Source organism: Homo sapiens, chromosome 10 (assembly GCF_000001405.40).
Source record: "Homo sapiens chromosome 10, GRCh38.p14 Primary Assembly".
Classification (NCBI taxonomy): domain Eukaryota; kingdom Metazoa; phylum Chordata; class Mammalia; order Primates; family Hominidae; genus Homo; species Homo sapiens.
Window position 1 is genome coordinate 99,884,503 of NC_000010.11, and position 26,081 is coordinate 99,910,583.

The 26,081-nt window shown below is 45.3% G+C and overlaps 1 protein-coding gene across 12 annotated transcripts in view, besides 2 other annotated features; it reads right to left on the reverse strand.

Moving 5' to 3' along the window:
- DNMBP (dynamin binding protein) overlaps nucleotides 1-26,081 on the reverse strand; it is a 134,377-nt gene that overhangs the window by 8,932 nt on the left and 99,364 nt on the right. For 7 of the 12 annotated variants that reach the window (NR_199816.1, NR_199817.1, XM_047424910.1 and 4 more), the window contains 10 exons: nucleotides 24,451-24,644; nucleotides 23,493-23,592; nucleotides 15,417-15,564; nucleotides 14,241-14,258; nucleotides 13,584-13,783; nucleotides 11,765-11,895; nucleotides 10,444-10,548; nucleotides 4,323-4,451; nucleotides 1,798-2,130; nucleotides 1,185-1,364 (listed from right to left, as the gene is read on the reverse strand). Coding sequence is in view for 10 of the 12 variants with exons in the window: in XM_047424910.1 (XP_047280866.1) it covers nucleotides 1,185-1,364; nucleotides 1,798-2,130; nucleotides 4,323-4,451; nucleotides 10,444-10,548; nucleotides 11,765-11,895; nucleotides 13,584-13,783; nucleotides 14,241-14,258; nucleotides 15,417-15,564; nucleotides 23,493-23,592; nucleotides 24,451-24,644 (1,538 nt within the window). In the remaining 2 variants the exon portion in view is untranslated. Of the gene's footprint in view, nucleotides 1-1,184; nucleotides 1,365-1,797; nucleotides 2,131-4,322; nucleotides 4,452-10,058; nucleotides 10,160-10,443; nucleotides 10,549-11,764; nucleotides 11,896-13,583; nucleotides 13,784-14,240; nucleotides 14,259-15,416; nucleotides 15,565-23,492; nucleotides 23,593-24,119; nucleotides 24,645-26,081 lie in introns of all 12 variants that reach the window. The other 5 variants (NM_001441293.1, NM_001441290.1, NM_001441291.1 and 2 more) reach the window with 5 other exon arrangements.
- Nucleotides 6,626-7,485: an enhancer, noted in NCBI's record as "H3K27ac-H3K4me1 hESC enhancer chr10:101650885-101651744 (GRCh37/hg19 assembly coordinates)". NCBI's record gives its function as "activates a minimal SCP1, AML or CMV promoter by ChIP-STARR-seq in naive H9 embryonic stem cells {active_cell/tissue: H9 hESC(naive)}" and the evidence as "EXISTENCE:reporter gene assay evidence [ECO:0000049][PMID:30033119]".
- Nucleotides 21,430-22,629: an enhancer, noted in NCBI's record as "MED14-independent group 3 enhancer chr10:101665689-101666888 (GRCh37/hg19 assembly coordinates)". NCBI's record gives its function as "activates an origin of replication core promoter dependent on BRD2, BRD4, P300/CBP and CDK7 cofactors, and independent of MED14, by STARR-seq in HCT116 cells {active_cell/tissue: HCT116}" and the evidence as "EXISTENCE:reporter gene assay evidence [ECO:0000049][PMID:35650434]".

Here is a 26,081-nt window from a genome sequence, read left to right on the forward strand (position 1 = left end):
TCTAAGTGATATTAGTAGGTCTTCTTGTATTTTGTTAGGGACATTCTCGGTTAGGTTCATCTATCTTGACTTCCCCACCTGTGAAAGCAAGGAAGTCATAAGAAAAAAGGTAATAATAAATTCAGGCTGGGCATGGTTGCTCACACCTGTAATCCCAGCACTTTGGGAGGCCAAGGTGGGCAGATCACTTGAGGCCAGGACTTGGAGACCAGTCTGGTCAACATAGCGAAACCCTGTCTCTACTAAAAATACAATACAGGCATGGTAACGCATGCCTGTAATCCCAGCTACTCAAGAGGCTGAGGCAGGAGAATCACTTGAACCTGGGAGGGTGGAGGATGCAGTGAGCCAAGATCAGACCACTGCATTCCAGCCTGGGTGACAGAGCAAGGCTCTGTCTCAAAAAATCATAATTCTCCCTTTTAAGGTAATATAAATTAATGTCTATGGGATCATATGGGGCAAAAATATTGTAAGCAAAGATGTATCAGCAGTCCTCTAGCTGGTGTGCCTTATGCTAATTTTTAAAATATGGAAGAACTGAGGTTAAAAAAGACTAACTCCAGGTAAAAAAGGCAGCCAACCATTAACTGTTTAGCTGTATTACTTTTATGAATACATCATAAAAAATAGGCCTGGCAGAATTAATATACCCTTAAATCAGTTTCCTGAATTAATGAACCAATGAATTAATACTGGGTTAATCCCCTCCCCCCCACAAAAAAAGCCTGGGGATGGTGGCTCATGCCTGTAATCCCAGCACTTTGGGAGGCTGAGGCGGACAGATCACAAGGTCAAGAGATCGAGACCACCCTGGCCAACATGGTAAAACCCCATCTCTACTAAAAAATAGAAAAATTAGCTGGGCGTAGTGGCGTGTGCCTGTAGTCCCAGCTACTTGGGAGGCTGAAGCAGGAGAATTCACTTGAACCCAGAAGGCGCAGGTTGTAGTGAGCCAAGATCACACCACTGCACTCCAGCCTGGCAACAGAATGAGATGAGACTCTGTCTCAAAAAAAAAAATGGCGAATGCATGAGCCCATGATGGGTGAGAATGCAACACTATTCTCCATTTATTATGAAATACAGAAACTCCAATAGTGGGATCTGGGCCTGGGGGCCTGGCTGCAGGGTTCCCCCTCTTTACCCCGAGGCGGGGCTGCTGCTCTCAGTTCCCTACTCACCAGGCCCAGGAGTGGCTTTCGAGCAGACTGGCGGTCAATGGTTTTCCTCTCAAATGGCTTCTTGGTAGCTGGAAGAGACTCCGGGAAGAAGGTAAAAACCTGGAGTTGCTGCAGAACTCTGCTGTGCTCTTCGTGGAAGATGGCAATAAGGTTTCCCTCTCTGCCAGCCACTTTGAGTAACTGGGGTCCATGGGAAGAGCAGAGATAGAGAAAAGAAGAAAACACGATAAAAGATCCCAGAGAAAAGAAGAAAACATGATGAAAGATCCCGGATTGACAGTCTCCTTAGAACCACTGGAAGCTAAAGTTCAGCTGCAGCTCATTCTCTGAGCTACCGACACAGCAGCCTGATGCAAGACACAAGTTCTCCAGGGCACTGCCTGCGGGCCAGGTTGGCTGGCTCTTCTGGGAACTGCTCAAGAGGGAAAAGATGTTTCAGAAGCCACAGGCTTCATGACACCATCAAGGGATTAAGATTTCCTGAGGGATGAACTAGCGACACATTCAGTTTATCTAATTCAGATAATTTTTCAAACCATGCTACCATTTTTCCCAGAAAAATACCAGGCAAAGGCTATAGATGACCATCCCACTGAACAGGTAAGAAACTCACCGAAAGCAGTGGCTTTAATTGCTCCAGAGCCTGGTGCACAAAGTCACAGTGGGCTTCAGCATAGCCGTGGACACAGTTGGTGAAGAGGCCCTGGGCGTACTGGTGGAACTTGGGCAGCTCATCCAGCAGCTGTGCATTCAGGGCCTCATAGTTGTTCCGGGCCGACTGCAGCTCCTCCAGGGTCTTCTTGTCCTTTAGCTTTTCTGCCCGTTCTGTACAGTTATAGAAGTCCAGGAGCTTGTCAAAGCGTTTCTGTACCAGCTTATGGGGCCCTGTAAACATGCTCAGTAACTGATTTAAGGGGGAGATGACAAGCCGCTCTGTCCTCTCCTTCTGTAGGGACGAGAAAGGCACATTGCTCAGCTGGACAGCATCCCACATTTGTGATTATCCAAGTCACTCTTAAGGCTGACTTTGTTGTGTCCTGAACCACCTACTTCGTTTCTAGTACACAAGCTAAACCCATACAGATCTACAACAGTATTCTACTAACCCATCACTAGCCTCTACTTAAATACTCCACAAGACTTCTCACTAGATACCTTCAATTCCCACATCAAGGAGTATGTAAAATACACTAATCTCACTTGACCTCCTTGAGGTGATAAATGCTAAGCTGCACACTGATATGATGTGTGCATTAGAAACCAGCCGTGAAGTTTACCTGGTAACATTTATTATGTGTACATGTCTACATAGCTTGAATTTAACTCCAGAGTTAGTTGTTACATAAATCTGAGGTGGAATAACTTTCATACACTCATAAACCTTTAATCATAACTAGGTAATACCCATTTTTTTTTTTTTGAGACGGAGTCTTGCTCTGTCACCCAGGCTGGAGTGCAGTGGCGCAATCTCAGCTCACTGCAGCCTCAGCCTCCCAAGAAGTTGGGATTACAGGAGTCAGCCACCGCACACAGCCCCCATTTTTATCTTCCAAAGAATTTTTCTCTTGGTTGGGAACGGTGGCTCATGCCCATAATCCCAGCACTTTGGGAGGCCAAGGTGGGCAGACCACTTGAGGTCAGAAGTTTGAGACCAGCCTGGCAAAACCCCGTCTCTACTAAAAATACAAAAATTAGGCAGGTATGGTGGTGCATGCCTGTAGTCCCAGCTCCTTGGGAGGCTGAGGCAGGAGAATCGCTTGAACCTGGGAGGCAGAGGTTGCAGTGAGCAGAGATTGTGCCACTGCACTCCAGCCTGGGTGACAGAGTGAGACTCCATCTCAAAACAAAAATTATAAATTTTTCTCTTTAATTCTTTCTAACACACAGACATTAAGGGTAAGGCAATGAATACATAAAGAACATAAACAGGTACTTAGTAGTACTTAGTAGCATCTTATTAAAAATAATGTACAATTAGAACACCTGTCAGCTCCCCAGGTGGGCATGTCTTTTTCACCCTCAGGCCACTTATAGATCCCTACAAAACTATCAAACCCCATCCAGTTTTTTCTACAAGGGATTAAACAATCCCATATATATGGATTTAGAATTTCTCAAGAAATTTGGTCTTCAGTACTTCAAGCAATTTTTTTTTGAGACAGAGTTTCGCTCTTGTTGCCCAGGCTGGAGTACAATGGCATGATCTCGGCTCACCATGACCTCCACCTTCCAGGTTCAAGCAATTCTCCTGCCTCAGCCTCCCGAGTAGCTGGGATTACAGGTGTGCGCCACCACACCTGGCTAATTTTGTATTTTTAGTAGAGACAGGGTTTCTCCATGTTGGTCAGGCTGGTCTCAACTCCCAACCTCAGGTGATCCGCCCACCTCGGCCTCCCAAAATGCTGGGATTAGAGGCGTGAGCCACCATGCCCGGACTTAAAGTAGTTTTTACCATCTCAAATCTCTTTGGTAACATATTAACTATATTCCTAAATATTTGTCTTCAAGGTTTTTTTTTTGTTTGTTTGTTTGTTTTTGTTTTGAGGCAGAGTCTTGCTCTGTTGCCCAGGCTGGAGTACAGTGGTGCTATCTTGGTTCATTGCAACCTCCTCCTCCTGGGTTCAAGCTATTCTCCAGCCTCGGCCTCCTGAGTACCTGGGATTACAGGTGCCCACCACCATGCCCTGCTAATTTTTGTATTTTTAGTAGTGGCAGGGTTTCACCACCTTGGCCAGGCTGGTCTTGAACTCCTGACCTCAAGGGATCTGCCTGCCTCTGCCTCTCAAAGTGCTAGGATTACAGGCATGAGCCACTGTGCCTGGACCCTCTTCAAGTTATTATTCCTATAGTTGCTTTTATTTGATCAGAGTTCATTGCCTAGTTTTCCTTTGTCCTCTGAAACTAAATTAATCACAAGCTATTTTTTAAAAAACCTGTTTGTACAGACACAGGTCCTACATCTCCCTTTAACTAACTGAAAGTCATGTTGTGAATATCAAACCCCAATATGAATATAGCTAAAGGATGACTAATATGCCTGGTGCCCAGGGCCTGTGTCCGTGGAACTGACTTGCATGAGCTGATGTATTTGAGATGACCCTGGGAAGGGGGCCAACTTTTGAAGAAAAAGTTACTTACAAAGTTTGTGAAGAGCTGGTCACTGATGTAGCGATGCACCCTCTCAAACTGCTCCAGGTCCCGGTGTCCTCTCTCCATGCACACATCCCACATGCTCACAGCAGCCACCACTTTCACACATGCGGACTCCTGGAGCCAGTTAGGACAGACACAAGTCAGAACAGACAGAACTTTCCAGCTTTTGTCATACATTCCAAGACTGAATAGCAGTCTTGGAAAAATGAGTTCCATAATTTGAAATTTTCTAACTAGTCTGGTATTTTAGCTTTGAAATAAGCATATTTTCATAAACTATGACTTACGGGGCACAGAGAAAGGCTAAGACTTTTAATTCTTAACAAAACTGTTGAGGGCTTTTATCATCTCTTTAGCATTCCCCTATGTCCCTAATAGGGTTTCTTAATTTACCAAAAAGCAAATTATCAAATTAGAACCAAGATGATTCCTATAGGATTACGATAATGACCAGTCACCTCTCCTTCCTCAAGTCTTGGTTCATGCTGTCGCCATCTCAAAGACAACTGTCCTGCCATGTTACTGATCCTCAAAACCTGGTTTCCCATCCGACCCTGGCACTCCCAATAGCTCCTGCTGTGCTGCTTCCTTTTTTTGTCTTTGCAAAAAAATACTCTCTCACATGATTAGAATTGACTAATGCTTGCTTATTGTCATGATCTCCCTCACCCACCCTCCTAGTAAAAATGCGAGCTCCACAAAGGTAGAGACTTTTGTCTGTTTTGTTTGCTGACTCCACTATCACATAGTCAACTCCTCCTGACAGTGACTGAGTTTGAACTCCAGGTTGGTTTTCCAGGCTTTCTTTCGAGACCAGCCTGGCCAGCATGGTGAGACCCCATCTCTACAATGCTGGGCTGTAACCCAAACAAACTAAATACTCCATTAGTCTATTTCAAGGGCAAAAAGAGAAAAGTCTAAGACTTTTAATTCTTAAAAAACTGTTGAGGGCTTTTATCATCTCTTTGGCATTCCCCTATGTCCCTAATAGGGATTCTTAATTTAACAAAAAGTAAATTATCAAATTAGAACCAAGATGATTCCTATAGGATTAGGATAATGACCAGTTACCTCTCCTTCCTCAAGTCTTGGTTCATGCTGTCACCGTCTCAAAGACAACTGCCCTGCCATGCTACTGATCATCACAACCTGGTTTCCCATTCCTAAGCAAAGTCCCTAAGCAAAACCATCAGTGCCTCATACATTGGTTTGATGCTTTATTTTTATATCATTTTTAGACCTTTTGTCTTTAATATTTATATCTGTATATATAAAGCCAGGGCTTCGTCAGTAAGATAACCCAGGGAATGTTGCTAATTCCTCTTGAGTGGGAGATCTAATGTGAAAAGTGATGTCCTCTTGTTTTCTTTTAAAGGAATGTTATAAAGTCCCCAAATATCAGCCCATATGCCAATGTAGATACCAAATTATCCAGCCAATGGCCCTCAGCTTATGTTCTTGCTGGTTTTCTCGCTGTTAGTCAATCTAATTTTATTATTGGGCAGGCTTTTCATTTTGTGGCATGACAAAACTATTCAACATTTTCTCTCAATTTCTGTCAGCAGTCAGAACTAAATTGATACTTCCATCAGATGGTTTTCAACATTACATATATCCCAACCCAAAATGTATCAGTCACTGCTATGGAGGTGAGCCTTTTAAGGGCTGAGGGCTCAGGTATATAGTGTCACACTTTAGAAAACCTGGGGAGAAAATGGCCAACAGAGGGATATCAGCATGAGAGGGATATTAGGGGAAAGTCCTATGAAGCAGCAAGACAAAGAAACATACTCAGTAGCTGCCCCAATTGTGTGTTTTATTTTTCTTGAGATGGAGTCTCACTCTCACCCAGGTTGGAGTGCAATGGCATGATCTCAGCTCACTGCAACCTCCACCTCCCGGCGTCAAGCAATTCTCCTGCCTCAGCCTCCTGAGTAGCTGGGATTACAGGTGCCTGCCATCATGCCCAGCTAATTTTTGTAGTTTTAGTAGAGACAGGGTTTCACCACGTTGGCCAGGTTGGTCTCAAACTCCTGACGTCAGCTGATCTGCCCACCTCGGCCTCCCAAAGTGTTGGGATTACAGGCATGAGCAACTGTGCCCGGCCCTAGTTACATTTTTAAAACACAAGGGTGGAAGTTGGCTATTTACTCAATAAATGATAGGCCACTGGGTAACCAGCTGGAAAAATAAAGTTGAATCCCTGCTTCAAACCTGATTTACTAAAGTCCAGACAGAGCAATGATTTAATCTTAAAACTTAAAAAAAGATTTTAAAATCTTAAAAAATGGAATGATAAAAGTACTAGAACTCCCTCTCCCTCTCCCCCTCTCCCTCCCCCTCTCCCTCTCCCCACCGTCTCCCTCTCTTTCCACGGTCTCCCTCTCATGCGGAGCCAAAGCTGGACTGTACTGCTGCCATCTCGGCTCACTGCAACCTCCCTGCCTGATTCTCCTGCCTCAGCCTGCCCAGTGCCTGCGATTGCAGGCACGCGCCACCACGCCTGACTGGTTTTGGTGGAGACGGGGTTTCGCTGTGTTGGCCAGGCCGGTCTCCAGCCCCTAACCGCGAGTGATCCGCCAGCCTCGGCCTCCCGAGGTGCCGGGATTGCAGACGGAGTCTCGTTCACTCAGTGCTCAATGGTGCCCAGGCTGGAGTGCAGTGGCGTGATCTCGGCTCGCTACAACCTACACCTCCCAGCCGCCTGCCTTGGACTCCCAAAGTGCCGAGATTGCAGCCTCTGCCCGGCCGCCACCCCGTCTGGGAAGTGAGGAGTGTCTCTGCCTGGCCGCCCATCGTCTGGGATGTGAGGAGCCCCTCTGCCTGGCTGCCCAGTCTGGAAAGTGAGGAGCGTCTCTGCCCGGCCGCCATCCCACCTGGGAAGTGAGGAGCACCTCTTCCCGGCCGCCATCACATCTAGGAAGTGAGGAGCGTCTCTGCCCGGCCGCCCATCGTCTGAGACGTGGGGAGCGCCTCTGCCCCGCCGCCCCATCTGGGATGTGAGGAGCGCCTCTGCCCGGCCACGACCCCGTCTGGGAGGTGAGGAGCGTCTCTGCCGCCCCGTCCGGGAGGGAGGTGGGGGGGTCAGCCCCCTGCCCGGCCAGCCGCCCCGTCCGGGAGGTGAGGGGCGCCTCTGCCCGGCCGCCCCTACTGGGAAGTGAGGAGCCCCTCTGCCCGGCCAGCCGCCCCGTCCGGGAGGGAGGTGGGGGGGTCAGCTCCCCGCCCGGCCAGCCACCCCATCTGGGAGGTGAGGGGCGCCTCTGCCCGGCCGCCCCTACTGGGACGTGAAGAGCCCCTCTGCCCGGCCAGCCGCCCCGTCCAGGAGGGAGGTGGGGGGGTCAGCCCCCTGCCCGGCCAGCCGCCCCGTCCGGGAGGTGAGGGGCGCCTCTGCCCGGCCACCACCCCGTCTGGGAGGTGTGCCCAACAGCTCATTGAGAACGGGCCAGGATGACAATGGCGGCTTTGTGGAATAGAAAGGCGGGAAAGGTGGGGAAAAGATTGAGAAATCGGATGGTTGCCGTGTCTGTGTAGAAAGAAGTAGACATGGGAGACTTTTCATTTTGTTCTGCACTAAGAAAAATTCCTCTGCCTTGGGATCCTGTTGATCTGTGACCTTACCCCCAACCCTGCGCTCTCTGAAACATGTGCTGTGTCCACTCAGGGTTAAATGGATTAAGGGCGGTGCAAGATGTGCTTTGTTAAACAGATGCTTGAAGGCAGCATGCTCGTTAAGAGTCATCACCAATCCCTAATCTCAAGTAATCAGGGACACAAACACTGCGGAAGGCCGCAGGGTCCTCTGCCTAGGAAAACCAGAGACCTTTGTTCACTTGTTTATCTGCTGACCTTCCCTCCACTATTGTCCCATGACCCTGCCAAATCCCCCTCTGTGAGAAACACCCAAGAATTATCAATAAAAAAATAAATTAAAAAAAAATACTAAAACACGAGAATTTTTAAATGTTGGAACAGCAAAGTCCTTTCTACATATGACACAAAACTAAGAAGCCATAAAATGCAAGTTTAAACTCTTAAGCGGAGAAAACACTTTAAGCAAACTCAGAAGTCAATAAACTGAGGTAGGGGGAGGACATCTGCAAACCATCTCAGACAAAGGACTATATCCTCCAATAGATACAGAGATCAACAAACTGATAAAGATGCCAGAATATAGGTAAGTCACAGAAAAATATAATGATATAGACATATAAGAATATTCTCAACTCCATTCCTAATATAAGAAATGACAATTTAAACTATATTGAAATATTTTTTACCTCTCTTGCAGGCAAAGATAAAACCCACTGGTTTTGATAACACTGAGTTAGCAAGGGATATTGCTTGTGGAACTTTTCACCTTTACAACATCTCTGACATTTAACGGTAGTTGTCAAAATTTATACTGCCACAAGATTTGGCTCAGAAGTACACTGGCCTTCAGACAGACTCACATAGATCAGAAAATGATGTATCCACAAGGATATTCCTTGTATGACTAGTTCTAATCTTTTCCAACTACAAGCGATTTAAATATCTGCCAACAGGGGACTAGTTAAATATATTATGACTTGTCCACAGTGATATACTACGCAATTGTAAAGAACAATGGACCAAGGCCAGGCGCGGTGGCTCACGCCTGTAATTCCAACACTTTGGAAGACCAAGGTGGGTGGATCATGAAGTCAAGAGATCGACACCATCCTGGCCAACATGATGACACCCCGTCTCTATTAAAAATACAAAAATTAGCTGGGCGTGGTGGTGTACGCCTCAGCTACTTGGGAGGCTGAGGCAGGAGAACCACTTGAACCCAGGAGGCGGAGGTTGCAGTGAGCTGAGATTCTGCCACTGCACTCTAGCCTGGCGAGAGTGAGACTCTGTCTCAAAGGAAAAAAGAACAATGGGCCTCTGTGTGTATGGCTACATCACTTCTGAAATTTGATTAAGTGTGAAACCCAAGATGCTAGTGTATCTCCCACCTACACACACATGAAATCTCTGATAGGAGGGAAGAACTTAATGGATGGTGACTGTCTCTACAGAAGGTGACAAGGTAGGAGGAATAATTATTTTTACTTAGCCCTTTGGTACCTTTAAATTTTATACCATTTTATTCAGTTTAAAAACTTTTTTTTTAAAAAAGTTAAGGATCCCTTTTAAGGAAATTCTTTTATAAGATCAGATATTCAGGCTGGACATGGTGGCTCATGCCTGTAATCCCAGCACTTCGGGAGGCCAGTTTAAGACCAGCCTGGGCAACATAGTAAGACCTCATCTCTGCTTAAAAAAATTAGCCAGGTGTGGTGGTGTGCACCTGTGGTCCCAGCCACTGAGGTGGGAGGATTGCTTGAGCCCAGGACTTGGAGACTGCACTGAGCTATGATGGCACTATTGCACTCCAGTCTGGGTGAGAGAAAGAGACTCTGTCTCTAAAAGATCAGAGGGACAGGAGTATCCAGTACACTCACAGCATCCTATATTAAATCAATAGAGAAATTAGAGACAAGAATAGAAAGGATGGTGGTGCTGGTTCTGACCTCAGGGAGGAAGCATTGCTTGAGGCAAGGAAAGACCTAGGCTCACCTGATCTCCTTGGCTTCTCTAGATCTCAAAGCTGTTTATGGCTCTAATACCTTTAGAGGCCTTATTATAGCAACTGAATATTAATAAATTGGGAGCTGAAGTGATCAGAAAGCATACCACATAGGAACATTCTCTTACTCGTATTCACTGCTTGTTCTTTCTCGTTTACGTTTCCTGTTTACAGCTTCCTAGCTTTTGCATTCAATATTTGATTTTCAAACTGGTTTTGATAAAATGAACTGTAATAAGTAAAAGAAAAATAAGGTGTGTGTGGGATGAAGGGTGATGAAGACCAAAAAGAGGGTGGAAAAAGTTGGGCTGCTTTGAAATGAATGTGACAACATTGATCTAAATGCTATTACTGTTAAATAACCTACTGGCATCTCAACAAAAAGTATGATGGGGCATAATAGTAATTTGAGTCCAGATTACTCAGCATTCATTAAACAATATGACTGATGAACAGGAAAGGGGACAGAATTACATCGTATGTTAATCTAACTACAGTGATGTTGATGCTCACCCGGATGTGCTGGAGGTAGAGAGACAGGTCTCGGATAAAAGACTTAATCAATCTTTCTTGCATTCGGAAGTTTTTTTCTGTTTCTTCAAATACTTCATCTTTTATCTGTTCAAAAATAAACAAGTGCTGTTAGCAAATCTGGACACTCCTTTAATCTTACTGGCAAAAGTAGCTTGCTTTTTTTTTTTTTTTTTTGTGGAGACGGAGTTTTGCTCTTGTCGTCCAGGTTGGAGTGCAATGGCATGATCTTGGCTCACTGCAACCTCCGCCTCCTGGATTCAAGCAATTCTCCTGCGTCAGCCTCTCGCATAGCTGAGATTACAGGCTTGCATCACCACGCCCAGCTCATTTTTGTATTACTAGTAGAGATGGGGTTTCACCATGTTGGCCAGACTAGTCTCGAACTCCTGATCTCAGGTGATCCACCCCGCCTTGGCCTCCCAGAGTGCTGGGATTATAGGCATGAGCCACCACGCCCAGCCAAAAGTAGCTTCCTTAAAAACATCTTTTGTTCAAATTTTAAACCTTTAATGTTTTCCTGAATCATAGTGAATTGATTTAAACACCTGCATGTGGTTTCAAAAGACCTCCAAAATACACACAGGCCCTCCTTTAAACCTTCTTTGCAAGCCCTCTGCTCTGGCCAGGCTGCCCTCTTCACCCCAGCACTGCCATGTCTGCTGAACCTAGGACTGTTCCTCATGAGGTTCCCCTGCCTGGCAGGTCTTCTCCCTCCCTGTGGCATGCCTGCCCCCTTCCTATAAGGCTCAGGTCAACATGACTCTTGCTCTCACTGAACTGTTTTTCTAAAATACTACAGCATTTGGAGAACAAAATACAAAACCTAACAATGGACTATTTTCTGGCTTATATTTTCCATGAATTGTACCTTAATATATATAGTATAGCAGAATGATGTCTGCAGACTTCAGGTCAACTTTCAGCATCGCCGATAAACTGTTTTTCAATCCATTCAATCTCTTACACTTAACGTTTCCTTCTTTGTAACATCATGTATCCAACTAGGTGATCTCTTAAATTCCTGCTAGCTTAGTAAGTCTACAACTATAGTTTTGTCCCACCAAATCAATTATAAGCTCCTTAGAGGTGGTGAAAACTACCATAATTATTACATGTCAACTGATCTGACCCTCTAATTTGCCTTTGTAACCAGCAGCTGGAGGGCCCTGTCTCCACCAGCTCGTAAAACCGGAGGACGTCTGAGGAAGGGAACCACGCCAATTGACGCCAGGCAGGCTGTCTCATGGAGCCCTGAAAAGCTGTCAAAGATGCGCTAAGCCTTCCAGGATGGGGATCTCACCTGAGGAGCAAAGCCAGTGAGATGCTTCAGGTGACTGCTAACTCGGTTGGATTTCTTGATGATGGAGTGGATGTTCAGTTTGGAAATTTTCTCCATAAGGCTATCTTCATCACCCTTACGGTACTTGAGGACTAGGGAGTAAGTCAGAAAAGCACTTTCCTCAGCATGGGCATACTACAAAATGAGCCATAAAATGAGATGAACACCCAAACGGGAGCTAGTCCTTGTCTTCAATGAGCTTATAACAAAATATTAATCCAAATAATGATTTATGGACAGACATGATATCTGAAGCACAGCAGAGAGACAATGGGCAGCCAGGAGAGGGGCCAGAGACAAGGAGGAAAACAGCAGAGGGTGTTAAGGGAAAGAACTTAAGGAAATCTGAAGTCAATGCCTGGGTCTGCCACTTAAGGTATGGCATTAAATCAGTCATTTTACCTTGAGTCTCATTTTCCTCTTCAATAAAATGCAGAAAGCAATACTTGTAAGGCCATCTTAAATGGTGCCATACACAAATGAGATATTGATATCCAATCGTCTCCCATAGTAAAATGCTATACAGCAGTAATTTAATTACCATGTTAAACATTAGGCACAACCTACAGAAAAGTGTAGAGATAAAAGTAGAAGGGTGGCAAGGGGAAGACTGGGAGGCAGCAAAAAGGTATACCTGGTTGTAGAAGTTGGAGACTACATCGCATTAGGAGATTTGAACCAAGGGAAAGGGCTGGATGACCAGAGAGCTTTAGAAGCCACAGTCAACATCCCATCCTAATGCGGGTGACACAGTTGAAGTAGAAGGCAGAGAAATGATTTTAGATAACTTTAAAGTGTGGAGAAGAATGGAAAGACAAAAAGGTTACACTGTATTATATCTTGATATGAATAATAAATGAGCTCAGCACAGTCACTGTGCTATATATACTCACTGAATGCTCAAGTTAGGGCCTCAAGAGACCTGATGAGTGCATTCAGTGTTATGAAGAAGGAGTGGGTGGGTGGGCAACTGACTGTTTTAGGAGGGGAGGTGAGGGACTCAACCCAGAGAGGTCACTGGGCATGGGCAGTGAAGACAGGACAAGAAAGGTGAGCAGATTGGGGTTTTCTAAAAGACAAGAAGTCCTAGCTTTAGTAGAGGTAGTAAGACATCCAATTAGACACTTAGAAAAAAGTCTATGCATGGACTCCAGAGGAGCTCCATAAATGAGGTGAGGAGGAAACTGCCCGTGCTCGAATAAAACTTCCCATCACCTAGTCTCCACTGTCTTCATATCTCTTGAGAAAGGCTCTTATTGCTATATATTTTATTACAGATGCCTTATTTCCAATATACCATACTTCCGCTTTTTATCGTTACTTCTGCCTTTAATAAATACCACATTTTGGGCCGGGTGCAGTGGCTCACGCCTATAATCACAGCACTTTGGGAGGCTGAGAGTTCCAGACCAGCTTGGCCAACATGGTGAAACCCTGTCTCTACTAAAAATACAAAAATTAGCTGGGCATGGTGCCACATGCCTGTAATTCCAACTACTTGGGAGGCTGAAGTGGGAGAATTGCTTGAACATGGGAGGTGGAGGTTGCAGTGAGCTGAGATAGCACCACTGCACTCCAGCCTGGGGGACAGAGCAAGACTCTGTCTCAAAAAAAATAATAATAAAATATCATATTTCCCCCAAATTCTACCATTTCTTCATCACAGCCCTATTATACCTACCACCTGCCTTGTCCAACTCTAGCGAAGTAATGAATTGTTTTGAGAAGAAAAGCATTCTCAAAGGGCATACCTCCTTTTCAGCAATTATGCTGTTCTTACCCAGGTCCTTTCGCCGTTTATATTCATTAATGTTAACGTTGATTTCCTTGACCGCAAGGACTGCATTGGTTAAAGGCACTTTATCTGGGTGGGATTCTGGGGTGGAATTCAGCAACTCCATTAGCAACAGCGGGTAACGCATTACTCTCTGTACTGGTTTGATGAGGAAGGAGCCCAGGTTAATATAATTTGTGCATCCCCTGTAAGAGAAGGAAAAAAGACTTTAGTAAGCTATCAATAATATAGCGCCCAGCCTGGGAACATCGTGAGACCCCACCTTAAAAAAAACTTTTTTTTAACATAATAATAATGTACACCTATGGGCAGGATTTGTTCCTAAATATTGCTCTCTATTCTTTTACCCTACTTTCCAATTTCAGTCATTCAACATGTATTCATCTAATAAACACCAGGTACTGTTCTAGGTGCTGGGGATTTAATAGTAACCCCAAAAGTCCCTGTCCTGGTAGGAGAAGATAGGCAATAAACAGATAAGTAAAGTGTTCCCTTGGGGATAAGTGCTACGAAAGAAAACCCAGCAAGGTGAGTCTACTTCTAGGTTTGTCTATAAAGGAAGAAAATACAGTTGCTTAAGAGTTAGTTAGGAAAAATCCACAGAAGAAATGAGCGCATACATCAAGCAGCAATGGAACTTACCATTCGTTGTATAGGCTCCTGCAAGGCAGTGGGCATGAAAAGAAAAGAGACAGTTTATTAGAGAGAGAATCTTGAGTTTCACATTTTTCTCAGAACATAAATCATGTGGGACAAAAAATTATGAATGTTTATGGTAACATATTTAGTCTACTAAAAAATGTTAGCCCCGGCCAGGCATGGTGGCTCACGCCTGTAATCCCAGCACTTTGGGAGGCCGAGGCGGGTGGATCACCTGAGGTCAGGAGTTCAAGACCTGCCTGGCCAACCTGGTGAAACCCCGTCTATACTAAAAACATAAAAATTAGCTAGGCATGGTGGCACGTGCCTGTAATCCCAGCTACTGGGGGGCTGAGGCAGGGGATCGCTTGAACCCGGGAGGTGGAGGTTGCAGTGAGCTGAGAGCACCACTGCATTCCAGCCTGGACGACAGAGTGAGACTCTGTCTCTCCAAAAAATAAAAAAATAATAAAAAATAAAAAAGTTAGCCCCTAACTTCTCTTTGATCTACTTATCCATATATCTTTATACCTTGCTTCCCTAAGACCAGGACAATCTCACCTGATGTCTAGAATACCTTAGCTGGGCATGGTGGCTCACACCTATAATCCCAGCACTTTGGGAGGCCGAGGCAGGCGGATCACTTGAGGTCAGGAGTTTGAGACCAAGGTGGCCAACACGGTGAAACCCCATCTCCACTAAAAATACAAAAATTAGCCAGGTATGGTGGTGTGTGCCTGTAATTCCAGCTACTTGGGAGCCTAAGGCGGGAGAATCGCTTGAACCCGGGAGGCAGAGGTTGCAGTGAGCTAAGATTGTGCCACTGCATGCTGACCTGGGCAATAAGCTGAGATTACACCACTGCACTCTGGCCTGGGTGAGAGTGAGACTCCGTCTCAAAAAAAAAAACCCTGTATTTAGTCTTCTCACCTATGCTCTTATTTGGACCAAACCATCCTCTCCTGGCTGCTTTTTAACCTGATAACGCTAACCTAATACTCTATACAGATAAAACTTATTCACATGGACAAAAATACAATCAGGAAACCACTTAAATGATATATATCATGGATATCTTATGTTTAAAATAAGATGTCATCATCAAGTCCAGGCATATACACAGGTATAACTTAGAGAACTAAAGAGCTGTAATGGAAGTTAAGTGGTCAAAACTCCTACTTCAGATCTGCCAAGGAGTCCTGAAGATGCTTCTGGATCTTCTCATCCTTCTCGTAGATTTCAAGCAGCGCAATGGCCTCATCATGATTCTGGCAGTAAATCTTGTATGTTCCCTCAAGCTCATCCCGGTGACCAAGAAACACAGGTCCTTTGGAATACACACAAACATACAGTGTTTTTAGTAAACTTTCTTCTCAGTATACTAAATGTAAGGTACACAGCCAAACTTTAGTACCAGCTAAATCCTACCTATTACAAGAAATGATACTAAGACTATCCATCAAATAGTAAGAAACTTCCATCTAACAGCTTAAAGTTGTAATCATTTAAAGGAAAATTTAGAAAGCCATGTCATCCGTATATGTATGTATTCATTTTTTTTTGAGACAGGGTCTCTGTCACCCAGGCTGGAGTGCAGTGGCACAATCTCAGCCCACTGCAGACTCGACCTCCCAGACTCAGGTCGGTCCCTAGTAGCTGGGACCACGTGTGCATGCCACCATGCCCAGCTAATTTTTTGTATTTTTGGTAGAGAGGGGGTTTCGCCATGTTGCCCAGGCTCATGTATTTGTTTTAGAACAAACACACACACACACAATGTGACTGGCCTCTGAAACAGAGCCTCCAGTCCCTTTGCAGTCGAGCCAAGTCAGACATCTGAGAGCGTTCTCCATGTAGGGATGTAATGAGAACCCCATAAGGAGGACCCCCTCAGTTTCTTATTTTTTTTTCCTGAGACGGAGTCTCTTGTCGCCCAGGCTGGAGTGCAGTGGCACATCTCGGCTCACTGCAACATCCGCCTCCCTGGTTCAAGTGAGTCCTCTGCCTCAACCTCCCAAGTAGCTGGGATTACAGGTACACACCACCATACCCAGCTAATTTTTGTATTTTTAGTAGAGACGGAGTTCTTCTACAGCAGCAGTTTCTAACATTTTTGTGCATAAATAAGACTGGATAAAGTATATTACATTAAAATACCTATAATGATAAATCCCCAACTTATGATATAGTAACCTATATACTACTTTAGTTTTTTTGAGGCAGGGTCTCACTGTTGCCCAGGCTCCACTGCAGTGGTACGATCTTGGCTCACTGCAACCTCCACCTCCCAGGCTCAAGTGATCCTCCCACCTCTGCCTCCTGAGCAGCTGGGACTACAGATGTGCGCTGCCACACCTGGTTAATTTTTGTAATTTTAGTAGAGACAGGGTTTTGCCATGTTGGCCAGGCTGGTCTCAAACTCCTGGGCTCAAGCAATCCACCTGCCTGGGCCTCCCAAAGTGCTGGGATTACAGGTGTGAGCCCCAGCCATATGTACTTCTTTATAAGGTATTAAATAACCAAATGTAGCACTGAGTCTAACAATCCCCATACTGTCACAGCTTGAGGAGTGACACACACTGGTAACATTGGCTGCCTCTGGTTGAGGGTTACTGAAATTTCAAGACATTTGCAACGACCTAATCTGACAGAAACATGTGACTTCTGTTGGTGACAAAGTCACAGCTACTACTATGTGACTTATTCCCTACATTCATACTTTAAATAAATGCTATATTTCAGTTAAAAACTAGTAAAAAAAATAAAGAGGTCATTTTTTTCCCTATCCCCAGACCCCTCATCTAAAGTCAGTTAGGCATAGGAACAGTTCCTAAGCAAACTTCTACAGAACAATTGCCTTCAGAGCTGTGGCCTGAACGTGCGGGTCCCTGGCTTACTATGATGACTCTTCCTCTTGCCCTTCTTTCCTCCTCTCAGTGTATTTGGTGCTCCCTTCTTCAGCTCCATGTTCCACAAAAAAGAGCTCTCATCCTTGTTCTCCTCCCTCCAATATGATACTATTTACTGCTTCCCTACAACCAACCATCCCTACCAGCTGTCCAGGCACGACCCCTCCCCTCAGGGAGCCTATCGCTGCTTCTGTGGACTCACCTCTGTTCTCTCACTGTTGTGTCCCATGGAAGTCCCTGTTCTTGTGCAGAACTTTTTTTTTTCCTTTTTTTAAGACAGGGTCTCCTGCGTTGCCCAGGCTGGAGTGCAGTGGCACAATCTTGGCTCACTGCACCCGCCACCTCCTGGGCTCAAGTGATCCTCCGACCTCAGCCTCCTGAGTAGCTGGGACACCACCACACCTGCTAATTTTTGCATTTTTTGGTAGACGGGGTTTCGGCACGTTGGTCAGGCTGGTCACAAACTCTTGGGCTCAAGTGATCCACCTGCCTCGGCCCTTCCAAAGTGCTGGGATAACGGGCGTGAGTCACCATGCCTGGCCTAAAAAGTTTCTATTTAAATTATTTTCCTTAATGTATAACTCCTTTCTGTAAGAGAAACTTAACTTTTTTCATATCACCTCACACTGCCCTTTCTCACTGGAAGCCTCCCTTCTTTTTTTTTTTTTTTTTTTTTTTTGAGATGGAGTCTCGCTGTGTCACCCAGGCTGGAGTGCAGTGGCATGATCTCAACTCACTGCAACCTCTGCCTCCTGAGTTCAAGTGATTCTCCTGCCTCAGTCTCCTGAGTAGCTGGGATCACAGGCATGCGCCACCACGCCTGGCTCATTTTTGTATTTTTAGTAGAGACAGGGTTACACCATGTTGGCCAGGATGGTCTCAAACTCCTGATCTCAGGTGATCCGCCCGTCTCAGCCTCCCAAAGTGCTGGGATTACCGGTGTGAAACACCGCACCCGGCTGCCTCCCTTTAAAAAAAAAAAAAAAAAAAAATTGTTGGCTGGACGTAGTGGCTCAAGCCTGTAATCCCAGCAATTTGGGAGGCCAAGGTGGGCGGATCCCCTGAGGTCAGCAGTTCGAGACCAGCCTGGCCAACATGGCAAAACCCCGTCTCTACTAAAAATACAAAAATTAGCCAGGCATGGTGGCAGGCGCCTGTAATCCCAGCTACTCGGGAGACTGAGGCAGGAGAATCGTTTGAACCCAGGAGGCAGAGGTTGTAGTGAGCAGAGGTCGTGCCACTGCACTCCAGCCTGGGCAGAGAGCAAGATTCTGTCTTTAAAAAAAAAAAAAAAAAATTGTTTTGAGACAAGGTCTCACTCCACATCCTAGACTGGAGTGCAGTGTTGTGACCATTGCCAACTGCAGCCTCCAACACCTGGGCTCAACCAATCCTCCTGCCTCAGCCTCTCAAGAACCTGGGACTACAGGTATGTGCTACCACACCTGGGCAATTTTTTTTTTTTTTTTTTTTGTAGAAACGAGGTCTCACTATGTTGCCCAGGCTGGGCTTGAACTCCTGGCCTCAAGCAATCCTCCCGCCTTGGCCTCCCAAACTACTGAAATTACAGGCAGGAGCCACAGCACCTGGCCAGAAGCTTCCCTTCTGTCTACTCCTGCAACCTACCAGTCACAACAGTGGGGGTGGGGCTGGCTCCTTTTTCATCTTCACGGCCACTTTTTTTTTGTTTTGTTTTTTTTTAAGAGATGGGGCCTTGCTCTGTCACCCAGATTGGAGTGCACTGTCATGAACCAGCTCACTGCAGCCTTGACCTCCTGAGCTCAAGCAATTCTCTGCCCTCAGCCCCCCAAATAGCTGGAACTACAAGTGTGCCCCACCATACCTGGCTAATTTTTGTATGTTTTGTAGGGATGGTGTTTCACCTGGTTGGTCAGGCTGGTCTCGAACTCCCGAGCTCAGCAATCCACCCACCTTGGCCTCCCAAAGTGCTAGGATTACAGGCGTGGGCCACCGTGCCTGGCCTTCACGGCCACTTTGGAATTCCTAAAGCCACCCATGTCTTCATCTGGTTGCACCATTCTACATTAGTCTGCCACCTTCTTTTTGCAGCCCTTTCCCTAGTTGCATTCTTAGAATCTTCACCATCCAGACATGATTTACATTCAATTCGCCGTTCTTCAACTTCCCTGATAGTCACTGTTCTATATCAATTACAAACTAGCAAAGCTACACCTATAATCTCTTTCAAACTCTGGGTCACGAAATATACTTAATGGGTCACAGTCAGCACTGTTTTGATGAAATAGAATGGATTTTTTTTTTTTTTCTGTAGAGACGGGGTTTTCCCATGTTGCCCAGGCTGGTCCAGAACTCCTGGGCTCACATGATCTGCCCACCTTGCCTCGGCCTCCCAAAGTGTTGGGATTACTGGTGTGAGCCAACACGCCCGGCTGATCAAATAGAAAAGAAAATATCAGAAAACATCGGACATAAAAATTAGCTGGGTGTGGTGGTACGCATCTGTAGTCCCAGCTACTAGGGAGGCTGAGGTGGGAGGATCGCTTGAGCCCAGAAGGTAGAGGCTGCAGTGAGCTGTGATCACACTGCTACACCCCAGCTTGGGAAATAGCGTGAGACTGTCTCGAAAAAAAAAGGAAAACACTGGACATGGTAAAACTAAGCACAGACATACACAGAAACACACATCCTGGGTCATTATGAACAACATAGCTCTCGGCGGGATGTGTTTAAAATCAGGTAAAGCGAGTACTTTCCACCTATGACCATGTACCCAGAGTCTCCCAGTGCTGCTTGATCATTCTCTATCTCAGCCACCTGCCCTTTGCCCGTGGCTCCATAAGGCTTTAACTTGCCCTTCATGGTCTTCTCGGAGCCTTCCCTCATCGGATGTTTCAGACCTCATTTGTTCTTTGTGAATCCCCCACTGAACGCACGCCTGGCCTTCCGTTAGAGCCACCGGCATGGTACTCTCAGTCTTGGCTCCCTCAAGCCCCACCACCCACCATCCCTCCTCTAAAAATTAGTCCTTGCGCCTAGGTCTCAGCCTTTCAGTGTTGAGGCCTCTCTGCCACCTCTGTGTGTCTTCAACACATCGAAGCCTGCTACCCAACTCCTTGTTTGACTTTGGACAAGAAGCGAAGGGAAGAAGAAAAAATAAATGCAGGTGCTATCTTATGGAGGTGGGGCTATGGATATTTGCTTTCATTTCTCAGTTTATTGTCATAATCTAAGGTATAGTACACTATAGACACAGATGCTAAGACTCTCATTTCTGATTTGAATCAGACCTAAGGGGAGAAGGCGCCTTGCAGAAGCTGGTTAACTCCAACCACCTGAGAGCCCCAGGAACGACAACAGGTAATAAACTGGAAGAAAAATGAGTAACTGCTTAATTTAAAATTAAGCTCTTTTAGATAGCAGCCAACTTTATCTCATTTCTTTCTTAATACAAATAAATGACCCAGAGATACTTATTTCAAGTGCCTTAAAAAATCATATACACTGTCGTTTATGCTTCACCATCACACTAAAACTGGGTCACTGTGACTTCCTTCTGCCCAACTCAATGTGTGTATCTCCTTCCTCAACTTCCCTGACCTCTCTGGTTAGACTAAGGGCAAGAACCTCAGGTTCCAGTTTTTCTAACTGTTCCAGAAAATGCAAAAGACACAGTTGTATTCTGTATAGAGGCTAATGGCATTTGCCTGCACGACAGAAAGACTTGAGTTTGAATGCCAGTCCCATCAATTACTAGCCATGTGACCTGGGCAAATTACCTTCCCTCTAAGTGTCGGTTTCTTCACTGTAAAATAGGATAGAGTACCTAAACTGGCTGCAGAGTGGGTCACACCTGTAATCTTGCAGTGTGGGAGGACTGAGCTCAGGAATTCAAGACCAGCCTGGGCAACAGAGCAAGACCTCATCTCTACTAAAAATAAAAAAGCTAGTTGGGAGGCTGAGGTGGGAGGATCACTTGAGCCTGGGAGGTCAAGGCTGAGGTGAGCCATGATCACACCACTGCATTCTAGCCTAGGCAGCAGAGCAAGACCTTGTCTCAAAAACATGTGTGGCGGCTCGTGCCTATAATCACAGCATTTTGGGAGTCTGAGGAGGGAAGATCGCTTGAGGCCAGGCATCCAAGACTAGCCTGGGCAATATAGTGAGACTCCATCTCTACAAAAATTTAAAAACTAGCTGGGCCTGATGGTGCATGCCTATAGTTCCAGCTGCTCAGGGAGCTGAGGTGAGAAGATTGCTTGACCTGGGTAATCGAGGCTGTGGGTGAGCTGTCATTGTGCCACTGCAGTCCAGTCTGGATAACAATGTGAGACCCTGTCTAAAAAAAGAAGAAACAACAGTACCTAAACCTCAGAGGGCTGTCTATTGTAGAGAACAACTGAGATCCAGCTGGACCTATCTTGTGAGGGTATGTGGTGAGAGAAACACTCAGGAAACATTAACCATGCTACAACATCCCAGAGCTGTTTCCTCCTCCCTTCAGGGGGCAGAACCCTGATTTTTTTCCTGTGTCCGTTTTTCTCCCAGGTGAGTCAGGTAAATTCCATCTAGTGTAAGCCAGTGTCATGACCCATTCCCCTTTCTAGCCATCAGCTTAGCTGCATGCATGTCACCCACTTCTGGCCAACGAGAAATAAGGTATCTGATCAGGGAGCTCTGGAAAAGGTTTGCAAACTCTTAAAACGACACAGGGGTCACTCCTTCTGCTGGATGTTGTTGTATATGGTGTCATGGCTGGAACTGGGGTAGCCTCTTGTAATTAGGATTCTAATAAAGCAGCAAAATGATAGGATGTCCCCTCCCACACTGTGCCAGGGCTGGTCTGTAGGACCCACAGAACATGACAGAAGTGATGCTGTGTCATGTTCAAGATCAGGTTATAGAAGACTCTGTGGCTCCTGTCTCAGGCGTGCTTGCTCTTGCGTGCTCTCTCTCATTCTGTCTCTCGCTCTCTCTCACAGGTCACTCTAGGTGACTCATGACTCATGCCACGTCGTGAGGAAAGCCCAGGGAGAGGCTCACGTGGCAAGAAACTGACGCCTGAAGAACTGAGTGAGCTTTCTTGGAAGTAGATCCCTGAGCCCCAGATGATGGCAGTCCAGGCCAACAACTGACTCCAACCTCATGAGACCCTGGGCCAGAACCACCCAGCGGAGCCACCTCCAGACTCCTGACCTACAGAAGCAGCGAGGTAATACATGTTTAATGTTTTCAGCTGCTAAGTTTCAGTGAAATTGTTAAATAGCAATGGATAACCAATAAGTTCCCTTGTTTATAAGAACTAGATGAATGTTTTAAAAACATTTTGACAATGTCCCACATAAATGTATTTTAAATTATGACTCAGTACACATATATTTGAAATGAAAATAAAAGTTTCAGCCAGATGTGGTGGCTCACACCTGTAATCCCAGCAATGTGGGAGGCCGAGGTGGGTAGATCGCTTAAGCCCAGGAGTTTGAAACCAGCCTGGGCACAGCCTGGGCAACATGGCAAAACTCCATCTCTACAAAAAAAAAATTACAAAAATTAGCTGGGCGTGGTGGCACATGCCTGTATTCCCAGCTATGTGGGAGACCAAGGTAGGGAGGATGACTTGAGGCTGGGAGGTTGAGGCTGCAGTGAGCTGAATTCGCACCACTGCACTCCAACCTGGGCGACAGTGTAAAAATCCTGTGTCAAAAAAAAAACAACAGATAAGTTTCAAAAATTGGTAGTTAAACTTACAGTGCATTCTGATATTTTCTTTTGTTTTTTTTTTTCTTGAGACCAAGTCTTGCTCTGTACCCCAGGCAGTGGTGTAGTGGCTCGTGGCGCGATTTCAGCTCACTGCAGCCTCAACCTCCTAGACTCAAGCAATCCTCCAACCTTGGTCTCCCAAGTAGCTGGGATTACAGGAGCCCATGACCACGCCCAGCTCTATTTTTAGTACAGACAGGGTTTCACCATGTTGGCCAGGCTGATCTCAAACTCCTGACCTCAGGTGATCCTCTTGCCATGGCCTCCCAAAGTGCTGGGATTACAGGTGTGAGCCACTGTGCCTGGCCGCATTCTGGTATTTTCTTGAAAAATAAGTTGATCTCATGACCCAGTAATGGGCTGCAACCATGAGTGTGGAAAAACATTGTACTGTATGACATCCAAAACTACTTCTATTGCTAACATCCTATTATTACCCCAAAGTAGGCTGAGACAGAAGGAAAGCAGAGGACAAGTAACCTCTGGACTAAGTACCTACACCTGTATCTTCCCGGAGGCATAGTTACTCAGTATCAGGAAGGCCACTTACTCCTGCCCATGAAGTTTTTTTAAAAAGCTGCTTCTGAAACAACACAGGAGCTCATACCTACAGCATCGCTGATTTCCAGAGCAGCCAATAATTGCTTCGAGACCTTAATCACCATCTGCATATTTCCAAAAAGTCCCTCAAAATCAATGTTTGGTACCTGAGAAAAGGAAACAAAACATAAAAATGCACGGAAATGAGCTTAATGGCATTTCAATCATCTTAGGAACAGCTCTTCAAGAATTGTAGAAAAATTGCTCAAGGTCACTTTCTTCACTCACTTTCATGAAGTTTCCAGACTAGAAATATCCAACATTATCTTTAGTGTCATCCTTTGTCCTTGATCCAACTATTCTCTGCCACCCCAACCAGCACTTTAGTAAAGTGATAATGGAACCAATTTGGCCTACAAATGCACTGGGATACAAATTCCCACCCGCAACCAACATCCCGTAGCACTGCCTACCTGCTGCAGAAGTACTTGGGAGTGAATGCTCCAAGGGTGTAAACCCAAGCCCAGCCCAGCTGGTCAAGTTACAAGCAACAAGGACTATAAACCCCAGGACATTGTTACCCTTTTCTTACTACCTCCAGCATCTAGAAAAGTCCCTAGCCTACTCACATGTTAGTAAGGGTTTCCTGGATAAACTCTATATGAACAGGTACTAGAGTCATGTAACTGCTCACCCCCAGGTTTTGTTACATCATCACTCAGCCTTCTAGCAGGGCCACGATTCAGACTCCCTGGAACTGCTTTCAGGAGCCACAGAAACAGGAAGTGTCCTAGGAGTGACTGCAGTGTCTGGTAGGTTAACAGTAGACTTGACAAGTGAAAGGATGCTGAAGGCTTAGCTGATGACACACGTATGTTGAGGCCCTTGATTAAGAGCAGCAGCACTCACAGTCACAGTTTCTATTTCAAATCCAATAAATCTGTGGCGAAAGCTCCTATATCCTAATGCTTCTGGCCTGGAGGACCATATTCAAGGTCAAACTAACTCTGTCTCCCAGTTCCCACCTGTGCCTGCTGCATGGGTACCATGATCCGCTCAATACACATTTCCAGATCCCGAATGTAGTCTCTTTCTGTCTGAAGAAGTTCTTCTATGACCTTGGCTCTCTTCTCCAGCATCCTCTGCTCTGGATTTTCGGCAGACACAGACCCAGAAGGGGCCACCAGTGATGAAGACTGGGAGGAGAGGAGCGTCATTTCTAGAAGGGAAAAGAGAACTGGTTAGCAGCTCTGGGTGTAAAAGCAGCACCCTTCCACAGTTTGAGGCAAACAGAACCCATTTCCTGAGAACCAAAGGTCTCACTATTGTCAACCCTCAGGAAATCAGATCGCACATGTCAGTTGTAAACAGGGACAGCTGAAGCGCTTAGAAAGCCATCACTGCAGAGAGAACTCCAACCTGTGCAATACCATTTTGAGAATGTGTCCTGAAAAGAAGTAGCTAGCCCACTTTGAGTGAACAAAGCATGTCTACAAGCTCCTTGCAAAAGAGGTTAGAGGGGTCTGACCTTATAAGACTTGCTTTCACTTAATCAGATATAAAACATGGTCCATGATCAAAGCACCAGAAATAACAAGCTGGAAGTTCAAAATACAGATGTAGCACATTAAACAGAATATTATGGGGAACACAGAACAATGCCAACTAAGGGTAAAATAAAAAATAAGAAATTATCCATCTGAGATCTGGATAATTATAGGACCTATCATTTTCCAGTCACTGTAATGGTAGGTCAACACTAGCATATAATGAAATAGGTAAAAAAAATTGTTTAGATTTTCCCTATGAAAACCTTAACCAAAACTCACAAGCAGGTTTTGTTACTCAAATGTCCTAGTAGATACAAACTTACTATAAACATGAAGCTTATCAATGGTATTTTCAAGTATAAGAATCTCTAAGAACTAAACTGCATTATTCTAAAAAACAAATATGTATCCTGTCATTAGCTTTTACAATTATCTGACTATTACTTAGATACACAGGATGAGAGAGTTATCTATAAACATGGAACAGCGTTTGTTCATCTGAAATGAGCATTAAACATGGTAATAAGCAAAGGAAAAGAACAGCAGTGAAACAATCAGCCTCTGCTTAGTCTATCAAATTCTTTATGATCCAATTAAACAACTACAAATTTGGTATGTAAATATACTAGTAAGTCTGAGTACAATTACAGGACTATTTTAACCCAGGTTTAAGAAGCAAAAACACAAGTGTTCAAACTACTTAAGGAAAGTCGGCCTTCACAGCAGATTTTATTCTCCAAAACACTTTCCACACTGCTTTCTCTCAGAAGTTAGGAATTCTGGGACGGGTGCAGTGGCTCACGCCCATGATCCCAGCACTTTGGGAGGCCAAGGCTGGCAGATCACTTGAGGTCAGGAGTTCGAGACCAGCCTGGCCAACATGGCAAGCTTCCATCTCTACTAAAAATACAAAAATGCTAAGCATAGTGGCACACACCTGTGATCCCAGGTACTTGGGAGGCTGAGTCATGAGAATCACTTGAACCCAGGAGGCAGAGGTTGCAGCGACACGAGATAGTGCCATTATTGCACTCCAGACTGGGTGACAGAGAAAGACCCTGTCTCAAAAAAGTAATTCCAGTGTTTTAGAATACAACCCAAATTCT